Raw genomic sequence first — 23,082 nt, 5'->3', positions numbered from 1 at the left:
CCATTCATACCCCAATCACAGTAGTGAAAGTGGAGGTTTTTTAGTCAGACCAAACTGGCAGCTAGTTCTGGCTTTGTCATTTACCTTGGGCAAATTATTCTGCTATTTGGGCCGGGTGCAGTGGCTCACGCCTGTAATCCCAGCACTTTGGGAGGCTGAGACGGGCAGATCACCTGAGGTCAGGAGTTCGAGACCAGCCTGGACAACATGGTGAAACCCCGTCTCTACTAAAAATACAAAAATTAGCTGGGCATGGTGGTGGGCACCTGTAATCCCAGCTACTTGGGAGGCTGAGGCAGGAGAATCGCTGGAAACAGCAAGGCGGAGGTTGGAGTGAGCTGAGATCATGCCACTGAACTCCAGCCTGGGTGACAGAGTGAGACTCTGTCTCAAAAAAAAAAATTATTCTGCTATTTGGAGTCACAATTTCCTCATGCAAAACAGGATGTAAAGCTACCTACGTCAAAGGGCTGGTGTGCAGGCTAAAAGAGAGCATTGGCATGAAATGCACATCACTGTGCCTCATGCAGTTGGTTTCAACAATATTCGTTCCCCTTCTCCTCTTAAGTCACTTACATGTAAATGTGTTGTGACCCAAATACCATCTGGTGCCTTCTTGCCTCTTTGACAGTAATGTATAAACAGCTCAGTCCCCTGCCAATTCCATGGACTGTGAAAGTCCAAGCCCCCCTCACCATTTTTGCTAATTCCTGGGGGTTCATGCTCTGACCCCTCTATTCTTCTGCAGTCTCTGTGCCCTGCATCAATTTGGATGTAAAGTCCAGCAACTTTGCTAGTTTGCATAAAACATCCATTCACAAGAAGCAAATTCACAAATGTAGTAGGCTTGATTGCCAATTCGGGGGACGTGAAGAAGGGTCACATCCAGGCATACACAGGTTTTTCAGTGTGTCCCTCTCATCTAGGGGCCTCAAACATGATGCCTGCATCAGCATCACCTGGAGGGTTTGTGAGAACACAAATCCCAGAGTTTCTGATACAGTAGATATAGGGTGAGGCCCAAGAATGTGTTTTTTAGTAGAGAAGGGGTTTGTTTCACCATGTTGGCCAAGCTGGTGTTGAATTCCTGGCCTCAAGTGATCCACCTGCCTCAGCCTCCCAAAGTGCTAGGATTACAGGCGTGAGCCACTGTGCCCAGCCAAGAATGTGAATTGCTACAAGTTCCCAGGTGGTTCTGATACTGCTAACAAGTTCCCAGGTGGTTCTGATACTGCCGGTCTAGGGACCACCCTTTGAGAACCACTCCTCTAATCTCCTTTCTGCTGTTTCTTGCTCCTCAGTTGCTGCCCCCTGGATTGCCCTGTAGGTCCAAAATCTCCCCCTCTCTATTATACAAAGCTCTCCCCAGATGCTATCTGCAACCTCTGTACCCAGATCAAGCCTGGACCCTTGGTTTACTAGGATTCAGCCTTTTGAGAAGGTATTTGGGGTTTTAAGCACAGGAGATGTCCTTGTGTGTGTTTGTTTCAGTGTGGAAGAATCCCGTCCTCTAGCTTCTCACTCTCTGCAGTTGTCTCTGCGCGAAGCTGAGCAGTCAGAACTCCTGTTTGGGTTCAGTGTGGGTGAGGTGAGTTTCCAGTGAGCCCCGGCCAGGGCTGAGGGTCTGTGTGCAGACCTTATCAGACTCAACCGAGTCCCAGGTCTACACAAAGCCATGCTTCTTGCTGGTGGTGGTTGGGGGGGTGGTTGGGGTGTGTGTGTGGCTGGGGCTAATCAGCAGCAAATTCTGGGGTGGGAGTAGGAGTGAGGGTTGGGGGCTGGGGGCTGGGGCTGGGGGCTGGGGGCTGGGCTGTCGGGCCACAGCTGTGGCTCTAAATTGCTCTGAGGCCCACTGCCTGGTCGGTGCTCCAGCAGGAACTGACATCAAACAAATGGGCTCTGATGCGTTAAGTGGGGAGGGGGATGCTGAAATGGGTCCCCCTCCCCCGCCTTTCTCCACCTAAAATAATGTTGGACAGGAGAGGCCTCCTTGATGAGAAAGGCTGTAATGAATTCCCAGATTCCAGCCCTTTGTGGGCAGCTGGGCAAGAGGGGGCAGAGCCTTCACTCTTAATAAAGATGGGAAGATGGCTTGTGCCCTCCCCACTGGGCCTGTTAATCCCACTCCAAGCTGGAGATTAGCATTTCTAATGGGCTGGGAGGTGCAGCCTTCAGGAGACTGAGGGATGACAGATATTCTGGTGGGTCCCTGGGGCTCTGAAGACAGGCAAGCGCTTTGTCTGGCCTCAGTTGCATTGATGTTGGCTTTCTTCAAACAACGTGCTCGCCTCATCTCTCCACTTCTGTTCCGTTGAGTGGAGGCGCCTATTCTAGAAACCGAGCCGGTGGGTTGCCCCCAAATGTCATATCCAAGAATCCAATATCCAAAGAGGATGATATGCAAAGCTCAAATTCACCTGACCACTATTTTTCAAAGGAATGTTGTCTCATTCATTTACTCATATTAATTCATTTTGTCCCTCACTTGGCACTTGCTATGTGCCAAGCACTTAATTGTGGATGCAGGTGAAAAACTGGTCTTTTGTAGTCAGGATGTTCATTCACAGTTTAGTGAAAGAAAGACAATGAGGCTGGGTGCAGTGACTCACATCTGTAATCTCAGTGCTTTGGGAGGCTGAGGTGGCAGGATCGCTTGAGGCCAGATATTCAAGACCAGCCTGGGCAACATAGTGATACCCCATCTCTATAGAAAATAAAATAAATTATCTGGGCATAAGTGGCAGTGCCTGTAGTTCCAGCTACGTGGGAGGCTGAGATGGAAGGATTGCTTGAGCTGAGGAGTTTGAGGCTGCAGAGAGCTATAATAGCACCACTGCACTCCAGCCCTGGGTGACAGACTGAGACCTTATCTCTTAAAAAAAAAAGAAAAAGACAACGAATGTTGTATCCCAGACTCCATTAGACATAAAATAGGTGCTCTATGGGCACAGTGAAGGGGTCTAAACCAGACTGCAAATGTGTGTGTGCGTGCGCCTGTGTGTGTGCATGTGCATGTGTGCACGTGTGTGCATGTGTGTGCATTCAGCATGTGTGTATGCGCGTGTTTGCGCATGTGTGCATGTGCATGTGTGTGTATGTGTGCGTGTGTGTGCGTGCGCGCGCGCGTGTGTGTGTGTGTGTGTGTGTGCAGGGCTGTTAGGGCAGACAGTGTTCCCTGAGCTGCCTTCAAGGAGTCTCGGAGGAATGGCCTATAAGGAGAAAAGGGGCTAGAGGGGCTTGGAATGGGAAACAAGAAGGAGAAGAAGAGGAGGAACGCAGAAGGATTAGGGGGTGGTGTGGAAGGTCAAGAGAAGAGTGTGTCAGACAGACCCACCTTTGGGCCATAATTTATCCATTGAGCCCATATTTATTGAGCCCTTTGCCCAAGACACTCTAATGTCGCTTTTGTTTACTTGACTTTCTCTCATGACAGTCTGGGCTTTCTACTTATCTTATGCTGTTAATTGGCACAGAGTAGGTTGTTAATACATACTTTTGAATTGAATTGAAAACCCTGGGAAGTGTGAGAATTTTGTTGCTGTCAGGGAAAGCTGGAAATAGTTGGAATGGCTAGAGTTTGGGGTACTTGTGGGAAGCGGTGAAAAATGAGGATGGAGAGGTGAGGGTTGGATCACTAAAGGTCTAACATGACAAACCATGGAGTTTAGATTTTATCTAATGTAGGGAATGAAGGTTTCAAGTAAAGGAATGACATGATCAGATTTGTATTTTAGAAGCTCCCTCTGGCTACAGTTTCATGAGGGAGTAGGCAACACAGGAGGCAGGAACACTCAATTCAGGCCACGAGGGCTTGGACTAAGGGTGAGACAGTGCATATGGATGTGAGGGACAAATTTCAAAGACAGCATGTGAACTTGAGAATGATGAGAAAGAATCTTCCTGCCAGGCGCGGTGGTTCAGGCCTGTAATCCCAGCACTTTAGCAGGCTGAGGCAGGGTGGATCGCTTGAGCCCACGAGTTCGAGACCAGCCTAGGCAACATAGTGAGACCCTGTCTCTAGAAAAAATACCAAAAAAATTAGCTGGGCACGGTGGTGGGCACCTGTAATCCCAGCTACTTGGGAGGCTGAGGTGGGAGGATAGCTTGAGCCTGGGAGGTCGAGGCTGCAGTGAGCCGTGATTGCACCACTGCACTCCAGCCTGGGTGACAGAGCAAGACCCTATTTCAAAACAAACAAACAAACAAACAAACAAACAAACGAAACCCCTCAGAAACAAAAGAGAGAGAGAGAGAGAAAGGATCGTTCTCATATTTCAAGGAGTAAATAGGGAGGTTCAGAGGTGTGTGACTTCCCCAAGTTACCCAACATTTCAGGAGGAGCCAGGCCTGGAAATAAGGCCCCATTTTAGCCTAATGAAGCTATAATCCCTCAAGTCCATGATCTGTTCTGGGGACATTTTTTTTTCTTTTTTGCACCCACCCTGTCTGTTCTGAGGACTTTGAAGGGAGAGTAAGACAGGTGGGTTGGACAGTTACTCGGTGGTTCTTTGTCCAAGAGACTTGGTCTGCATTTTCAGGGGAATTCATTTGCCCTCATTCCCCATTATAGCCTATGCCTAGAAACTATCCGTTAACTTTCTACAAGAGCAGAACCACCTCTCAGTGCTCACTCCAACCCCCACACCACCCCGAGGAAAGGGAGGGGGGTTACAGTGTCTGGGGGTCCCTCATGTCTTATCCTGCCTGGTTGAGGCTCTTTGGCCACTCCTCAGTGAGAACCAGCACAGCTACAGACATGTTGTGGCAGTATCCAGGGGACATGGTGAAAGCTGCGAGCACTGCCTCTCAACAATCAACATGGCCCCCTCTGTCTCTTTTCCCTTCCTTTTTTTTTTTTTTTTTTTTTGAGACGGAGTCTTGCTCTGTGGCCCAGGCTGGAGTGTAGTGTCACGATCTCGGCTCACTGCAACCTCTGCCTCTCGGGTTCAAGTGATTCTCCTGCCTCAGCCTCCAGAGTAGCTGGGACTACAGGCATGCGCCACATCACCCAGCTAATTTTTTTTTTTTTTTTTTTTGTATTTTTAGTAGAGACGGGGTTTCACCATGTTGGTCAGGCTGGTCTCGAACTTCTGAGCTTAAATGATCCACCCACCTCGGCCTCCCAAATTGTTGGGATTACAAGCGTGAGCCACCGTGCCTGGCCCCTATTTGGTTGTTGATCAAGATTCCTTTGAGTCTACTGAGAGGGGTTTTTGGTTTGTAGTAAGCAGTTTTATTTATTCTTTCAACAATATGAAATGTCTACCTTGTGCCAGGCACAATGCTGGGCATACGCTGATGTTTGACCTAAGGGCAAGCGGTGCAGAAAGAGGAGGGGGCTAGGAGACGGAGCACCATGGCAAATTTCTCCCATTCTCCCGACTTCCCTAGCATGGCACTTTTTCAATGGTGGATGTGCACACGCATCACGTTGAATCAGAGGGTGTCTCCACGACTGTACACATTACACATTCCTATACCAGTCACACTATGTTTAAAACACAAATTGTGCAAGTGAGTCTTCGAGAATAACAACTTCTAGAGGGGGGATGGTATGGTAGAATTCTGGAAGAGTGTGCTGTCTGGCACCCATGAAAAACCCTTTGATCCACTTTTGCCATCAGCTCTTTGACACCCCTCTCCTACCTACCAACAGGAACAAATCAAGAAAATGAGCAAATCACATGGCAAGAGTCCATTTTGAACAACTTTTATTATACGTTTAGTGTTCTCTATACAAAAGAAATCAGTTTTTTTACAGTGATTCAAAAAAAATTCAGAATAATTTGGCCTTTTCATTGCTCATGCAGTCAGTTTATAAGTCCATGTATTAGACGGCCCTCCATGGCCCAGAAGTCTTCCCTGCTGAAGGTCGTGTGTGACACCCTCAGATACGCATCTGTCACTGACAAAGTTGGTTAATGCAAAATAACTCGCAAAAAAGGAAAGAACATGATGTGAGAGGGGTTAAAACAAGGTCTGGCATGGAGTTAAATGTTTAACCAATGGAAAAAAGATCAGACCAATTTGTGTGTGTGTGGATATGTAGGAAGGGATGGAGACGCTGGGAAAAAAAATTCCCCACGGGAAAGAACAAATTGGAATGGTGGGGGATATGGGTGTGTGGTGGGGGCGGGGCAGGAGGTCCTCCGGGGTCCAGCATGGGTCGGGAGTGGGAGCAGGACAGAAGGTGGCCACGTCACAGGCGACTGATGCTCAGCTCAAGGGGAGTGTGAAGAGGTTGGCAAAGAGCTGGGGAGCCGGGCAGAGGGACAACACTGACTGAGGACATTGCAGTTGGGAATCAGAAAAAAAGGGGCAGCTCAGGGGCATCTGATCTGCCTCATTTTTGAAAAAGAAACAGAGTAATGTACAAAATTCTGGATATCTTCTCCCAGAGTTTTGTGTTTATTGCTTCACTGAAGTCTTTACATCTGTTGAACTCCAGCCCAGCAAATCCCAGGGTGGCAGCTTGCATGGGCCCTGCTGCCTCTCTGCACCCTGTGGCCATGGGCAGAATGGACCGAGATGCCCTCACTTCTGAGGAATACAGCACACTGAAGGCCCGATGTGTTACAAAGCAAGAGACACCATTCTACGGGGTACGGTCTAGGGTTCACAGTAACAAACACCAATCAGCTATCCTATTCCACTGGCCCAGATCTGCCCTTAATTGCATGACTGGGTGAACCACACACAGGCTGATCACAGACAGACTGATCTTGGTCTCAGAAACAATCCTGTTTGTCTTTCATTTTGGGAGGCATGTGGGGGATGTGGGAGACGCAGTAAAGAGGTATGAGAGGGTGAACCAGAAGGACAGATCTTAATACCTCTGTTTCAAAGGAGGCAGCTGTGGTGAGATGAAAGAACACTGACTGGACAAGGAGTCAGAAGGCCCAAGTTCAAGCCCTAACCTTACCTTAGTTTACCAGCTATGTGATCTTGAGCAAAAATCCCTTCACTTCTGTGGATTTGCATATCCTTGTCTGTACGATAGATCATTTCAATGAGATCAGCTCTGGGATTCCTTCACATGCCGAAATCCGATTCTGTCCTAAGCTAGATGCCTTGTACCTATTTCCATTCTCCTCATTATGGAACACCCATTTAATACTAGTGTGCTGATAGGAGGAACAGCAGCTTCAGGTGAGGCCTGAGACACTGTTTGGTGGACGCTTGTGGCTCTCCTGGATGGTTCTCCTTTCTCTCTGATCCTTCTCTGAATGTGTCTCAGGAAGGCCCATTATTAGTAAGGAAGGGAAAGAAAGGACACTTCCCTGGGCTTGGGCTGTGCAGGCTGGGGACAGCCACAAAGTCTGGCTTGGACTCACATGGGGTAGCCCCTGTCTAGGTTAAGGAATGCTAGGAGATGGTCAAGGGAGGGCACTGGTCTGACTCTGCCCGGCTTGCCTATGCCTCCCAGGGCCTTGGTCTCCTCTTGACATATCAAGCTCTTTGTTTCATTGTTTTGAGGCCTCTCTATTTTTCCTTTTTAAAATCAGGGCCCTCCTCCATGCTACTCCTTGGCCACCACGCAGAGCTCAAGCAGGATCCTTTGCCAACTAACGGTGTAGATGCAACCGCAACCATGGGCTTTTGTGTGTTTGGCTGGGGCTGGCCGGAGTGGTGACTGGGCAGGAGGTCACTCTGCACCAAGGTGTCATGAGTGGGGAGCGGTGCCTTGTGCCGGCCTCCCAGGAACCTGCTGGCCACTGAGAAGGGATTCTCTGGCACTAGCCCCAGCCGACGGAAAGCCCGAGAGGCTTCCTCTCCTCAGAGAGTTAGCAAAGCAGCCTCACAAAGACAGACAAAAATGTGCTATGTCCCTGCTCCCTCCATCAAATGGGCTGTTTGTGATGCCCTAAGACTTGGCCCTGCTCCAGCACAGGGCGCCAGAAAGAGCCCGCTGCCCGTGCCATTGCTTGGGCAAAGTTTCCCACTCCTTCAGCTCAGATGCTCTCTCTAGGTGCTGCCAACAGGAATTACCTAAACAGGGCCCAACCCTGGTGGCCTTTCCCACTCCTCTAAGGTGCGTTCCTCATCCACACAGAGCCCTTTGCATCTTATCTCACGCAACTTGGATGTGGACTAACCCTCTCCAAGACAATGTTGGAATCTGGATCGCTATCCCTTGGAAGCACTGCTTGGCAACAGGGTTGTGGTCTGCTGTATGTATGTGAGCATGCGTGGGCACTGGGTGTGGCAGGGGAGCTTGTCCGTTAGCTGGGAAACCCACACATCCTCGGGTTTCCACCGTCTTCCCAAGGCTGTGGTCAGGGAAACTATGAATGCGCTATGTGGGCTCAGTTGCACCTTGCAGGGCAAGCAATGTTGGCACTGGCTGATTTTCAGACCTGTGGTCACCTCTCCCGACTTCAGGGCTTGCCAGGGGCAGGGGCAATGGGGTGGACCAGATGTCTCCAACCTCTCAGAGCACAAAGGAGGGTGCTGGTTTGGCTTTCCTGTTAGCTTAAATTCAACCATCTCCTCAAAAGCAAGGCAGGAAAAGATGAGTCCCATTCACCATCACCCAGGCAAGGTGGGAGGCAGCTGTCCCCTGACCGATGGCAGTGTACTTCCCGAACCCTGGCCTCGACAATCCTTCAGGGGAGCCCGTGCCTCTCTGTAGAAAGAGGTATTCAAGGAGGAACTGAATGGGAGACAGAGGCATAAAAATACAGACAGGTTAAGGAGCTTGCCCCAAGAGGCAGAGCAAAGAGGCTCAGGAAGCAGGACTGTTTCTCAAGCCACACCGTGGTTCTTGACTGCTCTGTCCCGCCCAGCCTTGGTGACCAGATGGACCAAGCTCTCCCTCAGAATCCCTCTCTTCAAGCTCGCAGCCATCAGTGGCTTAAGCGGTAGAGGGAAGAATGCTCCCAGCTCAATGGCCACTGTGTCCTAGCACTTGATTTTAGGACTGTCAGCCCCATGAGGGCAGGGACCACATCTAACTCACGCGCCATGGTATCCACAGCTCAGGCCTTAGTTCAGACTGGATTTCAGATTATTTGCTGAATGAATGAATGAATGAATGAATGGACAAATGAGAGCACAGGAAACCACAGCTCTTAGGGCTGAGCATATAGGTGGGATTGCAGCCTAGTCAAAGGAACTTCTAGAGTTACTGTAAGATGCCCAGCACTTTCCTCCCAGCCAGACAGACTGGAGCGCCGATGGCATGGTGCTGTCCTGGCTTCACTGTTGGTATGTCTTGGGGTAGTTGCTTGGGAGACCCAGCTGGCAGGCAGTACTGGGCAATTCCACTTTCCTGCTGAGCTGGAGTGGACTCTGACATGGGCTCCATGGAAAATGCACCCTCCTCTTCCCCAAAGGGGCTGCCTCCTGAATCCTGCAATCCCCACGCCTCAGCGTTTGATCTCTCTGACCACCTGCCTTCCTTGCTTGGGGAAAACTTAATTCTTCAGCCTCAGATTTGCTTCTGCTCAGAGGGGTGTGATGGCGTGGTGATGGGGGGCAGCTCTCAGCACCCACAGAACAGCAGCCTGAGAGAGGGCTAACAGCATTTTCTTCATACACAAAGGACAGTACAGAGCCTGGCAGGACACTGGAACGAGGTGCAGAGGCAGGCTGCGGGCTTACTTCTCCCCAAGACCCTTACGAGAGAAGCAGCCCTTCCCAGTCACCAGGTGGTGTGGCAGACTTGCTCATCGTCCCTTCCTGCCCTAAGGGCCTGCTTTCGGTGCAATGGGTACGCTGGCATGTACGGTGCAGTATGGAATGAGTGTCTGAGAAACTGACTACTCTGCTCAGATCCAAAGCGTTTTCTGGAAAGGCCAGTCCTTTAATTCAGCTCACAGGCACACTTCCCTGACATTCCCTTCAGGGACAGTGGGCCTAGTATCCAAGCAGGTGTTGGAGGAAATCCAGGGGAGGGGCCCTCCAAGCTCACACCCCACCCCCTGCTGTTTACCCTGTCCCCTTGCACTGTGATAAGCTGCCCCTCAGGCGTCCAGGCAGCAGCCCTAGCTGAGGCTTGGCCCAAATGACCATTACACACTCTCAGGTTCAAACAACCTTATTGGCTCAGTTCTGGGCTATGGTTTCTTACCAGCAGAGAGTGTGTGTCTATGGGCTTGACCTTCAACTGAATGATTATTAATGATGCAAGCATTGCTAATACCTTTGCGGCTTAAACATGTGGCAAATGTTGCTTTAATAAAGTCACGGAAGGACAGAGCCCTGGTCTGGCCCAGGCCCCCTGGCTGGCAGCCGGAGAGGCTCAAATCGGAGGCTGTGCCCATGGCAGCTGATCCATTCCTGGGGATCAGCTTCACCCTCCTGAAACTGACCTCAGCTGCAGAAACAGCTAAAGGGTTCCTCTTAGACTCAAGATCTCCCCCTCTCCTTCTCTGTCTCTGAGGCTAGGTACCTTTGGTTTCAAAAATGCATTAGGTGGGGAGGATGAAGGCAGCACCTTCGGTCTGAGAACTGCAGGTCTGCGAGTGTCTCCATTTGGGGTGACTGGTGAGGACGTGTGTTGAGTGGCCACTTCTGGTCCTGCCGGAACACTTGCATAGGCTGCCCTGCTCTCCTGGAGATAGACGTTGCTGGAGGCTTCAAGGCTTGCAGGGGGGGAGCTGGGAACCTGGGAACTCCAGGGACAGATCAGCGCTGCATAAGGCATACAAAGAGCATTGAGTCCTCCCTAGGTGGGGGCATCACAACACTGAGTACGGTGCCACCTCAGGGTCCCCTGATATGTATACACCCCAATGAAAGGGCAGACCTGCTCAGTCTTGGGGCAAGTCCCCATCCACACACCATGTCAAACAAGAGCCTCAGTGTCCTACAGAATTGGCTGAGAAGATGATATCTGCTAGAGATGGAAGGGGAGCAGTGCCTTATGCCCCAAACACACCAGCAAAGCTTTTGCATCACAGGGTTCCATCTCCTCGAGGGTGGCAGCATGGGCCCTGGCCACGTGGACAGGTGCCCTCTACTCTGGACAGGGTGGGTGTGGCCCTCTATCTACATCCTGGGTTTCACCAGTGAGGAGGCATGAAGTCCAAACCCAGCCTTTTTCTTCTCTCTAGAAGTGAGCACAGTGCCCCCAAGACCAGACACCTGATTTTCTTCTGCTGGAGGTACACAGTCACTGGCGTTGAAGTCCTTTCTATCAGTGCCCACTCCTGTTCCTCAAACGTCTTCAGAGTCAATGCAGCTCACATCTTAGATATTCCAGAGAAAAGGGCAGGGGAGGAATGAGGAGCAAGAGGTAAACACACCTCCCAACCAAACCAGAGAGCAGCAAGGAGGCCTGCGCACCTTCTCCCTGCCAAAAATACTGTCATTTTCCAGAAAGGAGCCAAGCCCAGCTCAGCAACTGACAAGGCCGAGGCAGAGGGGCTGGGGGCCAGGGGAGGCATATGGCGAGAAAGGCATCCTTTGGAAATGCATTGGCCCAGAGGTGGTTTGAATATTACAGCCTGTCTACGTGTTCTGGTATGGATTCAATCCTTTTTGCCTATCTTTGCAAAAAGGATTCTCCTGGGGGAGAATCCACTTATTCTTTCTTTTCCAGGGACTCTTTTTCAAAAGGAAAAGAAAACAGAGACATTGGGTCTGGAGGGGAAGATGCACAAAGCGAAATTAAGACAATGAGAAGTCCCGTAACCAACAGAAAAGGTGAGCGTGTGCCGAGGCCAAGGGCGGACAGTGTGGTGGAACGCTCGGGGTGGCTGCGAGACCGGGCAAGGGGCCAGGCTCCCTCCAGCTGAGCTCAGCCACGGCTCCAGCTCTCCCACACTGGTGGCACCCGGGGCTGAAGGGGGGTCATTGGGAGGGGGCTTGTGGGTGGCTTGGTGGCTACTGGTCCTCACAGCTTGGCAGACCCCCATATCGTACCCTTGTTACTGAAGGTGGTGGTGGCTTCGTGGTAGGTCTGCAGTGGTTTTGTCTCCCCTTCTCCCCTCCTCCCACTTGCAAAGTGGTGGCTGTGCCTGGGTGGGCTCCGTTAGGCCAGAGAGTAGATAGCATTGACAGGTGACGTGGCCTCTGAGCTTTCGTTGCCCTCTGTTTCCTCCTTGTCCTTTTTGACCGTGTACTGGCCGATGAAGGAGCCGTCTTCATTGAACTGACCCTCGCCACCCTCGCCATAGTCCACCAGGCTGTCGTCACTCTCCTGCTGCTTGATGGTGCCGTCCAGAGATGTCTGACTGCCCTGCAGGGGCTTGTTGTCCTCATCACTGGCCAAAGAGAGACAGAGAATCTCAGGTGGGGTGAGATGGGGCAGCTGGCCTCCTGCCAGCACATGCCCTACACAGCTCAGAGAGGATGGGATCCAGGAGACCGCCCAGTCCAGCCCCCGCTTCACCCTCCCCTGTCCAGCCTGCTTTGCAGAAGGGAAATGGAGGCCTAGAGAGGACAAGCACCTTCTCTAAGGTGAGGTTGCAGGTCAGGGCAGGGCAGGGAGTGGAGCCCATGCTTTTGGGCTCCTGTTCTGGGTCTTTTCCATGAGATTGGGTCCCTGTGTGTGGTGGAAGTGGACAGAGGATGGCCACCCCATGGTGAGGCAGAGCCACTGCTTGTGAGACCACATGGAATGGTTCTAGTCCCGAGTGTGTCACTGTGTGGTTTTGTGACCTGGGCCTCAGTCTGTCCATCAAGAGGGGCTGGCCCAGCTTTGATCTCCCAAGACCTGTGACTCTGTAGGGAAACACTCTCGCCTTGACAACAAGCAAGGCTTTTAAAGGAACAAACCTCTCCCTCACCTCTCTGCTTGTCTGTCTTGGTGTCTTTCGCTGAGCTATCTGGTTGATCTATAAAAAGATGTTATTGCTTTGGGCCTAGCAAGCACAGGTGCGCAAGAGTGGTGGTGGTGGGGGGGCACACAGGTAAGCAGGTGATGCCAGCAAACGTGAGAAGACAGCAAGGCTCAGAGGATCATGCCCAGCCCCTTCTGAGGCCCATAGGCCCTGACCCTAAGCTCCCCTTGTGCAGGGAGAGCTGGGAGGCTGCCGAGTAAAGCTGCACGGGCCGCTGGGAACAGCCACCCAGTTGGGATGTCTGCTGTGCTCCTGAGGAGGCGCGGGGCTGCTCTCTGAGCCAGCGTCTGTTCAGGCACCATGTCCCTTCCCTTGGCTGGAAAGGCTCAGAGTGGGGACCAGGTGGTGCTGGCTGCACTTCAGAGGTTAGCCCAGTTCCTGGGCAGGAGGCAGCTCAGGATGAGCAGTGGGAGTCTGGGTCTGAGCAGTGGGAGTCTGGGTCTCAGTGGTGGGACCATAGCGGTGCCAGGCGGTCTGAGCAGACACACACCACACACTGCCTTGCCCCCAGCTCCCCACCCACCCCCAGTCCTTCCTGGACGTGGGGAAGACAACCAGCTGAGTTGCCATTATAGTGGGCAGTGCGTTCTCACTTCTAATAGCAGTGTCGGGCAAAGACAGCTGTCAGGTGAGGGCAGCGAGCCAGAGCCGGGGCTGTGTTAGAAGATTGAAAGCTATTAGCCCACTCCCCACAGTGCTGCCCCACGAATACAGCCTAACTGTATTCGTGGGACAGCCGTGGGTTGGGAGATGGTGTGAGGGAGGCAGCTCTCTGGGGCTGTGCTGAGTTTGTGCAGGAAGCGGAAGTCACTGTTTGCCAACTGGAGGAGGGAAATCGCCAGGCTCCTCACCCCACTTGCAGGTCTTATTCGCATGCACTCCTTTCCAGGGCCCTCTATCCCATGTGCAGGGGCATGAGGACTGTGCTATGGGATTTGTGGGAATTCCTCCTCTGTTTCCAGGCAGCTAAGCTAAGTGCAGCCACTGGGCAGCAACAGCCCAGCCAGTGGAAGGGGCGGGGGAAGAGATCTGTAGCATGCCAGGCTGTTGAGGGGACGGGGGATCTAGGTCTGAAAAGAACAGACCGAACAGACCTCTCCTAAGGGAAGCTTGAAAGAAACTAGAATGACTAGGGGTGGCCCTGGTCTGGCCACCTGTCAGCCTCACTTCTGAGACATCTTCAAGGTCTAGGTGGATGGATATAGGGGAGAAAAACAGAGGGTGCCCCATGGGAAAGGTGGTCGGCCACTTAGCCACAGACTGGAGTGAGAGAACAGCACTCCTCGCCCCTAGGCCTATCCTCTCTAGAAACTTAGTTCTTTCTCTGATGTATTAATTTCAGCCTTTTCCCAGGTTAGGGCTCTTAGACTCATCCAAGGGAGGGCTCTAGGATGGATGCTGCGGACCTTCCAGAGCCAAAGCAGAGGGGTGTGTGCGTGTAGGGGTGCAGGCCCAGGCATGCTCCTGTGCGTGTAGACCCAGGGTCAGTGTCTGCGGGGAGGAGGCAGGGGTTTTTGCCTGACAGCTTTGGTGTCTGGGGCAGGAGAGGTGCATAAGGAAGCAACTCCTCGCAGTACAGGCTGCCCAGCCTTGTATTGGAGGAGGTCCAAGCTCCTCCTCTCTGGCTGCACCAAGAGTCTGGGGGAGGAGAAGCCCTGTGGCTTTTGGAACAAAAAGCCAGGGAAGTCTCAGCCCACAGGGAAGCTGTGTCAGGGAAGCCCTGCCAGGGAAGATGGGAAGGGGGCTCTTGTGCCTGCCCTTTCAGGATGCTTCTGGGAATGTCGGGACTAGGTGGACAGTCATGGCCCATAAGCCTGCAGACAGGCTCCTGTGTGGGCAGTGGCTCCACCACACATTGATCTGATTGTGCTTGCCAGGCTGATGGGCAGAGTGGCAGAGGCCCAGGACAGGAAAAGGAGACTGTAGCAGAGGACAAGGGGACCTGGGCCCAGGCAGTAACTGGGTGGCATGAGGAGGGAGGGCTCTGATCAGACATTCCCTCCCATAGCACTTGGTCTGGGAATGACACTCCACAGCCCACTCTGCATCATCCTTCAGCTCAGAACATACTCGCCATCTCCATGGACCCACAACAATGTTGTTAAGCCCACATACAAAGATGCATCCAGGTAGGACAGGAGCATGGGTATAGAAGTATAGAATAGCAGCACCAGCTGGAAATGCGGGACCTGGCCTTTCCAGCTTTGCCACTAACTCACTGGGTGGGGACCTTGGAAGAGTCTTAGACAATTCGCTTCCTGGTCTGGGCCTCAGTCCTCTCATCTGGGGCATAGGGCACTGGACCAGAAGCCTTTCCAAGGCCCATTCCAGTCTAGAGCCCAAAGATATCGCCAAGTTCAAGGAGAAACGACCTGGAATCACCCCACCTTCATTCCTTGAGGCTTTAAGACATCACAGCCTCCCAGGGTCATTATCTTCAGGGTTAGGAATGGAGTGTGGGCAGAGAATCAGCATGAGAGCTGAGCTCATCTCACGGCAAGAGGGTCCTGGGGCTCATGTTCAGAGTGAAAAGGTGGAAAGACATACATAGCAAGCTTGATACATTTGAGTTGTGCAGTTGAATGAATGAAATGCTGTTCGTCAAACTAATGCACGCATGTGTCGGGCAGTGACTCCTGGGGGAGCAGCCTCGTCTGGCACTCTCAGGATGAGAAGCCTCTGAGTAAACTCAGCAGCATGCACTCTCCACCACAGCGCCACCAGAGAGGCAGAGTCACAGCCCAATGGGCAAGGACAGCTACTCATGGCCTCTCAGCCAAGCGGAGCTACTCTGAGGGGAGGGTGGTGCCTCAGGGACAGGGAGGACAGCCTGCCTGAGAGAGGAGGAGGGAGATCACGCACCTATAGTCAAATGAGCCATCCTCTTCCTTGGGGTCTTCAGGGCCAAGGGGAACATCCTTCTTTTCTCGTACTTGGTCAAAAGGAGAAGCAAAGACACAGACACGACGATTAAGTACATGCCCCTGCTCTCTAGGGCTCCACTGAATGCAGGGCCAGAAGGCACCGCCCTGGGCTCACTGACACTCTTTTTTAACAAGGCACCATCCACGCCTCCCTTGTTTTTGCTTCCTGTACTCAATCAGTTGCCAAGTTGACTCTGCCTCCTCCTTCTCAGCCCCAGGGGTCTCTTTACATCTCTACTGACAACTGAAATCTCCTCCTACCAAGCTCCCCCCACCACATCTCCATGAAGTCTCCCCAAAAGACCAAACAGATGTGATCATTTCCTTTGCCAAAGGCAAACACTCCACTGTTTGCACCTTTCTTACTCTGCTCTGTGGTGTAACTATTTGTGGACGTTTTTTCATGCCTATCACAGAAGGCTAGTTCTTTCCTCAAGGGTGGGGGTCTGTGTGCTTCTTCACAGTTCCTAGCAGAGTGCCCTGAGCAGAGAAGACACGCCGTACACACCTATGGGATGGAAAGTGTCTCTTCTCTGTGACCCCCTTGTTGGCGTGCCCCCTTTCCTCCACTTCCTCTGTGATGTGTGAGCATTCAGCCGAGGCTCTGCCTTGTTCTGTGCTCATTCTTTCGGTGTCAGCTACGGTGCCCTTGAGGAGAGATCATTTTTCCTCCAGTATCGCTAGTGCACAGCACAGAGGCGGATGCACAGCGGGCACTTACATGAAAACCTCTTTATGTATCTTTTTTTGTTTGTTTTTTTGCAGTGGTGCTATCTTGGCTCACTGCAACCTCTGCCTCCCGGGTTCAAGCGATTCTCATGCCCCAGCCTCCCAAATAGCTGGGATTATAGGCGCCTGCCACCGCGCCTGGCTCATTTTTGTATTTTTAGTAGAGACGAGGTTTTACCATGTTGGCCAGGCTGGTCTTGAACTCCCGACCTCAGGTGATCCACCCATTCAGCCTCCCAAAGTGCTGGGATTACAGGCGTGAGCCACCGCGCCCGGCCTATGTGTCCTTTTTGAGACACAAGGTAGATAATCATCCCCATTTTAGATGAGGGAAACCGAACCGTTGAGAGTTGAAGAGCATGTCACGTAACTAATTAGTGACTGAATGAAGACTGGAGGGAAGGCTAGCAACCAGGCCTTGTAGCTCCTGGTTCACTCATCTTTTTAAGGGACCAGGGGCTTACTCTGTAGCTGGAGGGCAAGAGGTTAGTTTCGAAGAACTGTTTGGAATGAGATACTTTCTGAAAGGGCAAAGGGCAGCTCAGAGTTGATCTGCTGGGTTCTTCCAGTATTCCACTTCCACCTGGAATGGGCGTGAACTCAGTCCACCCAAGTCTGACTGTCAGACGGAGGAGGCAGCCTTTTCCCTAACTCAGGCTTTCTCTGTTACAGAACCAGACAGGCCCAGCACAGCAGAACAGAGTGAAAGAAAACATCGCTCACCAGTAAGGGACAATCATTTCCTGCCCTCCCTCACTTAAGGCACAGCTCTTCAGAGTCCTAGTCTGTGGGTACTTGGGCATGGGGAATGAAAAAGAATCCAGTCTCCTCTCCCTTCTATTTCCTTTGTGTTGAGTTTTGGGGGGGGTCCTGGGGGAGGACCTGTTCTAAGAGATGGGGAGAAGGAAGCATTTGGGGAGCATGGGTTGTGTTTGGTGATGGGGCTTTCTGGAGCAGGGAGAAATTGCATTCTGTGGTCCAGCCAGATCTTTGCTTTCAGGGTCATCCATTATCCTGTCTCCTGTCCCTACCCACCCCATCACAGACAGATGGCTCTCTTGCTCCTGTGTAAAAAACAGTCAATATTTCCAGAAACAAGAATGCCAGAGGTCCTTATCCTTGACCTTGGTTATGTCTGGGCTGCAGGATCTTTTTTTTTTTTTTTCCTTTTTTGAGACGGAGTCTTGCTCTGCCGCCCAGGCTGGAGTGCAGTGGCACGATTTCGGCTCACTGCAACCTCTGCCTCCCAGGTTCAAGTGATTCTCCTGCCTCAGCCTCCTGAGTAGCTGGGATTATAGGCACGTGCCAAAACACCCAGCTAATTTTTTGTATTTTTGGTAGAGATTGGGTTTCACCATGTTGGCCAGGCTGGTCTCGAACTCCTGACCTCAAGTGATCTGCCTGCCTCAGCCTCGCAAAGTGCTGGGATTACAGGTGTGAGCCACTGCGCCCGGCCTGGAGGATCTTTTAAAAAATTTTATTTATTTGAGACAGGGTCTCTGTCACCCAGGCTGGAGTGCAGTGGCACAATCACGCCTCATGGCAGCCTTGACCTCTCCAGGCTCAGGTAATCCTCCCACCTCAGCCTGTTGAATAGCTGGGACCTCCGACACCTGCCACCACACCCAGCTAATTTTTGTATATTTAGTAGAGACGGAGTTTCGTCATGTTGGTTGGGCTGGCCTCAAACTCCTGACCTTAAGTGACCTGCTCACCTTGGCCTCCCGAAGTGCTGGGATTACAGGTGTGAGTCATTGTGCCTGGCTAGGGGCTGAAGGATCTTGAGGTATCCTTGGGATTTTAGGGAAGCCCAAAGTGCTTTAGGGCCATGGGGGTCCCTACCAGTGCCACCCATCTTCAGCCTCTCCCTGCTCCTCGCTTCTGACCCTTGCTAGTGGTATTGGCAGTTACACTGTTGTCCTGCTGAGCGCCCACCTCTGGAACTCTCTCATGTGGGTGCTGCTTCTGCCCAGGCCCCTCCTCTCCCCATTCTCTGGGACACGGTTAGGGAAAATGCCTCTCTTCCTTTCTCCTTCCCTGGGACACAGGATCCTAATGAGATTCAGGCTGAAAAAAAGCCAATTTATAGAACAGATGGGTGGTGAGTCAAGGGGAGGAAAGGTCATTCTTAATAGGAGCCAGGGTTCCTTCCATCCCCTCTCTGAGGCCGCCTGGACTGTGCCATCCGCCCAACTCAGGCGAACTTAATTAACTCAAGTGCTCGCTGGCAGTCTGAAGATGCACAGGCAAGAGGATTGTATTTCCAATCCGGGCAAGGGCTGGCTTCACTGAGAGAACACATTCCCCGGATCTGGCTGGAGACCTGGAGACTCACGGGAAAGTGGACGTGCCCCACCCTGCAAGCCCACGCCTCTTGCACATCTCACCTGGGTACTTGCCGCCGCGACTCCTCTTGATGAAACAGACGATGAGCAGGATCAGCACCAGGAGGGCGATGGCGCACATAAGCCCAATGAACCAGCCCTGGGTGGCGATGTCCGCTTGGTTGTTGGTGTAAGCTGGCGGGGAGGGCCGGAAGCAAACCCGTGAATGATTTCATGGGGGAGATGGTGAGGAGGGAGATGGAGGGAAGAACTTCAGCTATCTCATGTGGATGTTTCTCCTGGAGCCTAACACTACCACCTAGCAGCCCCCTGGCCCAAACTACCCTGCTAAAGGACAAAAAGAAAATAATTAAAGAGCCAAGGTCAAAAGATCAGAAAAGAGGCAAAGGAAAGGGGTACAAGGAGCAAATAAGCAGAAGGTTGAACAGGTCCTTTAGGAAGGGGAAAGTGTCATAGGGATGAAGCACGGCATTCTTGGAAACCAGAGGGCTGGTCACAGCCTAATGGGGACTGAGGGATGGCCACGGATTGGCCATGGAAGTATGATTCCCCATGGATGAGTCCAGGGTGGAGAAATGGGAGCCGGCAAGCTACCCATCAGGGAGTGCAGGCCGTGGCCACGTTGCAAAAACCTGCTATGAGAACACCTTCGCAGGCCTGCACAGGCACACGGCAGCATCCCTGCCCACCAGCATGGCTCTGAAGCCATCCAGGCTTCCTGAGGGTGGGGACTGGACCAAGTGGAGGCCCAGGATGCCCTGTCATCTTTTCACATCTCTCTAGTGGATCCTGCGCTTCCTGACAGCAAAGGCAATCCTGGTGTGGGTACCCCTAGCCAGGCCAGCAGCGATGTGGGGCTGGGGCTGTGCCTTCTGCTCACTCCATGCCACTTCCAGGCTACTCCACACAGGGTGACCCCCCCGGTGGTCTGTGACAAGCCGATGTTCCCCCTCCAACCCCTGTGACAGTGAGTCCCTCTCTGTCCATGCCCAGCGTATGTGCAGACCTGTTTCAAAGTGGGCAGATCCCTTTGTGATTTAAAAGGCCTGCAGGACGGCCTGAAGTACAGGTGCTAAGGAGTCACCTGAGGGTGTCCTTGATGACCCAATGGCTGGGTTTGGGTTTGGGAGGGGGGGTGTGGTCAGTACCAACTCACCCTTCTCCTTTCTACCGGCTGGAGAACAAAAGCGACCCCTCCTGAAATGCAGCCTGTCACAGAACGTGAGACTGTGACAGAAGGGAAGGATCAAAGGAACTGAATACACCCAGAGTAACCCTGGAACCAGCCAGCCCAGAGACACCTGGGGAGAGGCACACAACAGCAGGAGCCCCAAGAACCATGGAGCTGGCGCCAAGGCACTGAGCCTCCTTCCAGGAGCACGGGGAAAAGCATGAGGGCCACAGCACCTGCGCCCCCAGGTCTTCAGCACATGCCATTTGTGGGGCAGTTATCTGGGTGCAAGCCCACCCTTTGCTCCTCTTGGGGGCAGAAACTGTTTTTACAGCCTTCCCAGTGCCCAGTCAAGGGCATTGCACCAAGAAAGTTCCCAGTACGGGGTGAAGACTGATTTTACAGCCTTCCCAGTGCCCAGTCAAGGGCATTGCACCAAGAAAGTTGCCAGTACGGGGTGAAGACTGATGAACACGTGTCCTCTGCACTCTGGTTGCCCAGGGCGCCCCGGGCTGAAAAGCAGGTGAGGCCTGCGAGAACAAGGCTTGTGAGTACCATGATCTAGGTAGGCTGCAGAGAAAAGTCCCATCCCTGCTTCCACTCCTGCTCCCAGCAGGCCCCCGCCACAGTGTCAGAGTGATCTTTCCAACCCCCCACGTAGGACTGAATCACTTCCTTGCTTTAACCCTCCAAAGCTTCTTATTGTTATTGAAGAAAACTCTCCATTCCTTATCCTGACCTGTCGGGCTCCATCAGAGCAGGCCCTGGCCATCTCTCTAGTCCTACCTCCCACCACCCTGTCCTCATGCTTTATGCTCCAGCCATGCTGGCCGCTCTCATTCCTACTGCAGGGCCTTTGCATCTGCTGCTTTTTCTTCTAATGGCTGCCTTGGCAACTGGCACCTCCTAGAGAGGTCTTCCTGAACCTTCCCAGCTTAAACAAAGCCCCTCTCCCCAACTCCCACCCAGCTGCTATCTCTTATTTCATAGCATTTATAACCATTTAATATATATAGATCTATCATTATCTATTTAATCCTTCCTTCCTTCCTTCCCTCCCTCCCTTTCTTTTTTCTCTTCCCCCCAATCCTCTCCCCTTCTCCTCCCATCCCACTCCCCTCCCCTACTCTCCCTTCCCCTTCCCTCCTCTTCTCTTCTCTTTCTGAGACAGAGTCTCTCTCTATTGCCCAGGTTGGAGTGCAGTGGTGTTATCATAGCTCACTGCAACCTCAATCTCCTGGGCTTAAGTGATCCTCCTATCTCAGCCTCTCAAGTAGCTGGGACTACGAGTGCATGTCACCATGCCTAGCTAATTGTTTTTTTAATTTTAGTAAAGACAGGGTCTTGCTATGTTGTGGAGGCTGGTCTCAAAGTCCTAAGTGTTCCTGTGTCTTAAAAAAAAAAACCCTTGAGGAACTTGCCACACTTTTCAGCTCCAGCTCACATGCTGCCCTCTTAATTGGTACGCTCTATGCTCTTCCACCCCCTCCAGCTCCCGACAACTCTTCTGTACCCCCAGCAAGCTGACTTCAAGCCCCTCTATTCTTAGCGCTTCAGCTGTTACCACTGAGTGGGCCTCTCCCAAGCTGACCTCCACCTCCTTAACTCTCATCAGCACCAGTGACCCTTTATTCATCCCCATCATCCCTCCAGCCACCTCCACAACCGTAAGCCCAGAGCCTCCTCCTACAGCTCTCCTTGGATGCATGCGCTTGAAATTCAACCTGCATCTTCCTGCCCCCTGCCTTGATTCTCCCAGCTCTCCTGCTGCTGCCACAGGCCACACCACTGTGCCCATCTCTAAGAGCTGCCACTTCTTCCAAAACACTTCCCATATTCCTCTCACTGTTCCATTCTATTCCAGGGGTCCCCTCACCTGTGCCTGCCTGCCACTTCCTGTGGATACAATGAGACATCCCGTTACCACCTTCCTAGGAGGCTTCCAATGGTGCCACCTTTCATTACTCTCCACTGTGTGGGCTCAGCTTCTGAGCCTGGCCTTCTGGGAGCTCCAGTCTCCTTTCCGTGCATCCTGCCCCTCCTGCCCAAGAAAGCCCAGGCTGTCGCCCTCCTAGCTCACTGCCACCTTTGCACACTCTACCCCTCCTCCCTGAATCTCCCCTTGCTCCAACTCACACCATCTCCAAACTCCGATTTCACCCCCAGCTGCGCCATGCAGTGGAACATTTAATTGTTCTATTTCCTGGGTCCTGGTTTCCAATTATACTATTAAAGTCTTGAGAACGGGGGATCTCTTTTAGCCTCGTAGTACTTGGCACAATGCTGGTCACATAACAAGTAGTCAGTGACTACTTATTGATTAATGGGTGAATTTAATCTTACTATAATACAGTTAACCTGGCATACTGATTTAGGTTTTTCCCCTGATATCAGCTAGGGGTCATATGGATACTGGCTTGCCCGTGTGCTAGAACTGGGCACTGGGATGAAGGAATTACTTCAACATGTGTTTGGATAGTTCTACCCACCTTTTGCAAGGAGGTTGGTTTGTGCGTCTGCAACGACCTAGTCAATGGCCTAGTTGCACCACCATCTTCCTGGTGCTTGTTCTGATGCACCCTGACAGCTGTCTCCACAAGACTTCCTTCCTCTTGGGAAAGAAAGTCATCATTCCAGGGGAAAGGGGCCACATGGGCAATTAGGAAGCAAATGTGGCTTTTCATTCCTGACGTACCAGGTGAAGTTCAAATGTTACCTTCCGTCCTTACCGAAAAGGTGAAAGAATTTCCTGTGAAGTTTGGACACAGAAGGCTGTTCAAAACCAAGTGGGATCTGGGGTAAGGTGGGCTCAACCACATCCCATCAAAGTGATTTAGTTTCTCAAGGACCAAAAGAAATTTAGGACATAATGATCACACTTATAATGGGACTCCATGACCTGGACTCTGAGAGGAAGGCATTTTAGCAAGGCCCCAGAGCAATTATATTTGACTGTCAACACCATACTCAATCGGTCTGTTAAACTTGTTTCAAGATTCCTAACGGATCCAGTAATATCTGTGTGCAAAGACCAGGGTGCGTTTACACTTGCCACTCTCAGCTGTAACTGACGGGAGCCAGAACAGCATCCTCTCGTCCGGCCCCCACGCCTCTTACACTGGACT

The 23,082-nt window shown here is 52.0% G+C and overlaps 1 protein-coding gene across 50 annotated transcripts in view, besides 5 other annotated features; it reads right to left on the bottom strand.

Moving 5' to 3' along the window:
* Nucleotides 1,917–2,757: an enhancer, noted in NCBI's record as "NANOG-H3K4me1 hESC enhancer chr1:204994888-204995728 (GRCh37/hg19 assembly coordinates)". NCBI's record gives its function as "activates a minimal SCP1, AML or CMV promoter by ChIP-STARR-seq in naive H9 embryonic stem cells {active_cell/tissue: H9 hESC(naive)}" and the evidence as "EXISTENCE:reporter gene assay evidence [ECO:0000049][PMID:30033119]".
* Nucleotides 5,695–23,082, bottom strand: part of NFASC (neurofascin) — a 194,171-nt gene continuing 176,783 nt past the window's right edge. For all 50 annotated transcript variants that reach the window (XM_011509316.2, NM_001378329.1, NM_001005388.3 and 47 more), the window contains 3 exons: nucleotides 18,829–18,960; nucleotides 15,651–15,720; nucleotides 5,695–12,209 (listed from right to left, as the gene is read on the bottom strand). In XM_011509316.2, coding sequence (XP_011507618.2) covers nucleotides 11,978–12,209; nucleotides 15,651–15,720; nucleotides 18,829–18,960 — 434 coding nt within the window. In that variant the 3' untranslated portion in view covers nucleotides 5,695–11,977. The remainder of the gene's footprint in view (nucleotides 12,210–15,650; nucleotides 15,721–18,828; nucleotides 18,961–23,082) is intronic.
* Nucleotides 8,939–9,734: an enhancer, noted in NCBI's record as "H3K4me1 hESC enhancer chr1:204987911-204988706 (GRCh37/hg19 assembly coordinates)". NCBI's record gives its function as "activates a minimal SCP1, AML or CMV promoter by ChIP-STARR-seq in primed H9 embryonic stem cells {active_cell/tissue: H9 hESC(primed)}" and the evidence as "EXISTENCE:reporter gene assay evidence [ECO:0000049][PMID:30033119]".
* Nucleotides 9,735–10,532: an enhancer, noted in NCBI's record as "H3K4me1 hESC enhancer chr1:204987113-204987910 (GRCh37/hg19 assembly coordinates)". NCBI's record gives its function as "activates a minimal SCP1, AML or CMV promoter by ChIP-STARR-seq in primed H9 embryonic stem cells {active_cell/tissue: H9 hESC(primed)}" and the evidence as "EXISTENCE:reporter gene assay evidence [ECO:0000049][PMID:30033119]".
* Nucleotides 13,903–14,454: an enhancer, noted in NCBI's record as "H3K27ac-H3K4me1 hESC enhancer chr1:204983191-204983742 (GRCh37/hg19 assembly coordinates)". NCBI's record gives its function as "activates a minimal SCP1, AML or CMV promoter by ChIP-STARR-seq in naive H9 embryonic stem cells {active_cell/tissue: H9 hESC(naive)}" and the evidence as "EXISTENCE:reporter gene assay evidence [ECO:0000049][PMID:30033119]".
* Nucleotides 15,562–16,115: an enhancer, noted in NCBI's record as "H3K27ac-H3K4me1 hESC enhancer chr1:204981530-204982083 (GRCh37/hg19 assembly coordinates)". NCBI's record gives its function as "activates a minimal SCP1, AML or CMV promoter by ChIP-STARR-seq in primed H9 embryonic stem cells {active_cell/tissue: H9 hESC(primed)}" and the evidence as "EXISTENCE:reporter gene assay evidence [ECO:0000049][PMID:30033119]".

Source organism: Homo sapiens, chromosome 1 (assembly GCF_000001405.40).
Source record: "Homo sapiens chromosome 1, GRCh38.p14 Primary Assembly".
Classification (NCBI taxonomy): domain Eukaryota; kingdom Metazoa; phylum Chordata; class Mammalia; order Primates; family Hominidae; genus Homo; species Homo sapiens.
This window is presented reverse-complemented; position numbering and strand designations above follow the sequence as displayed.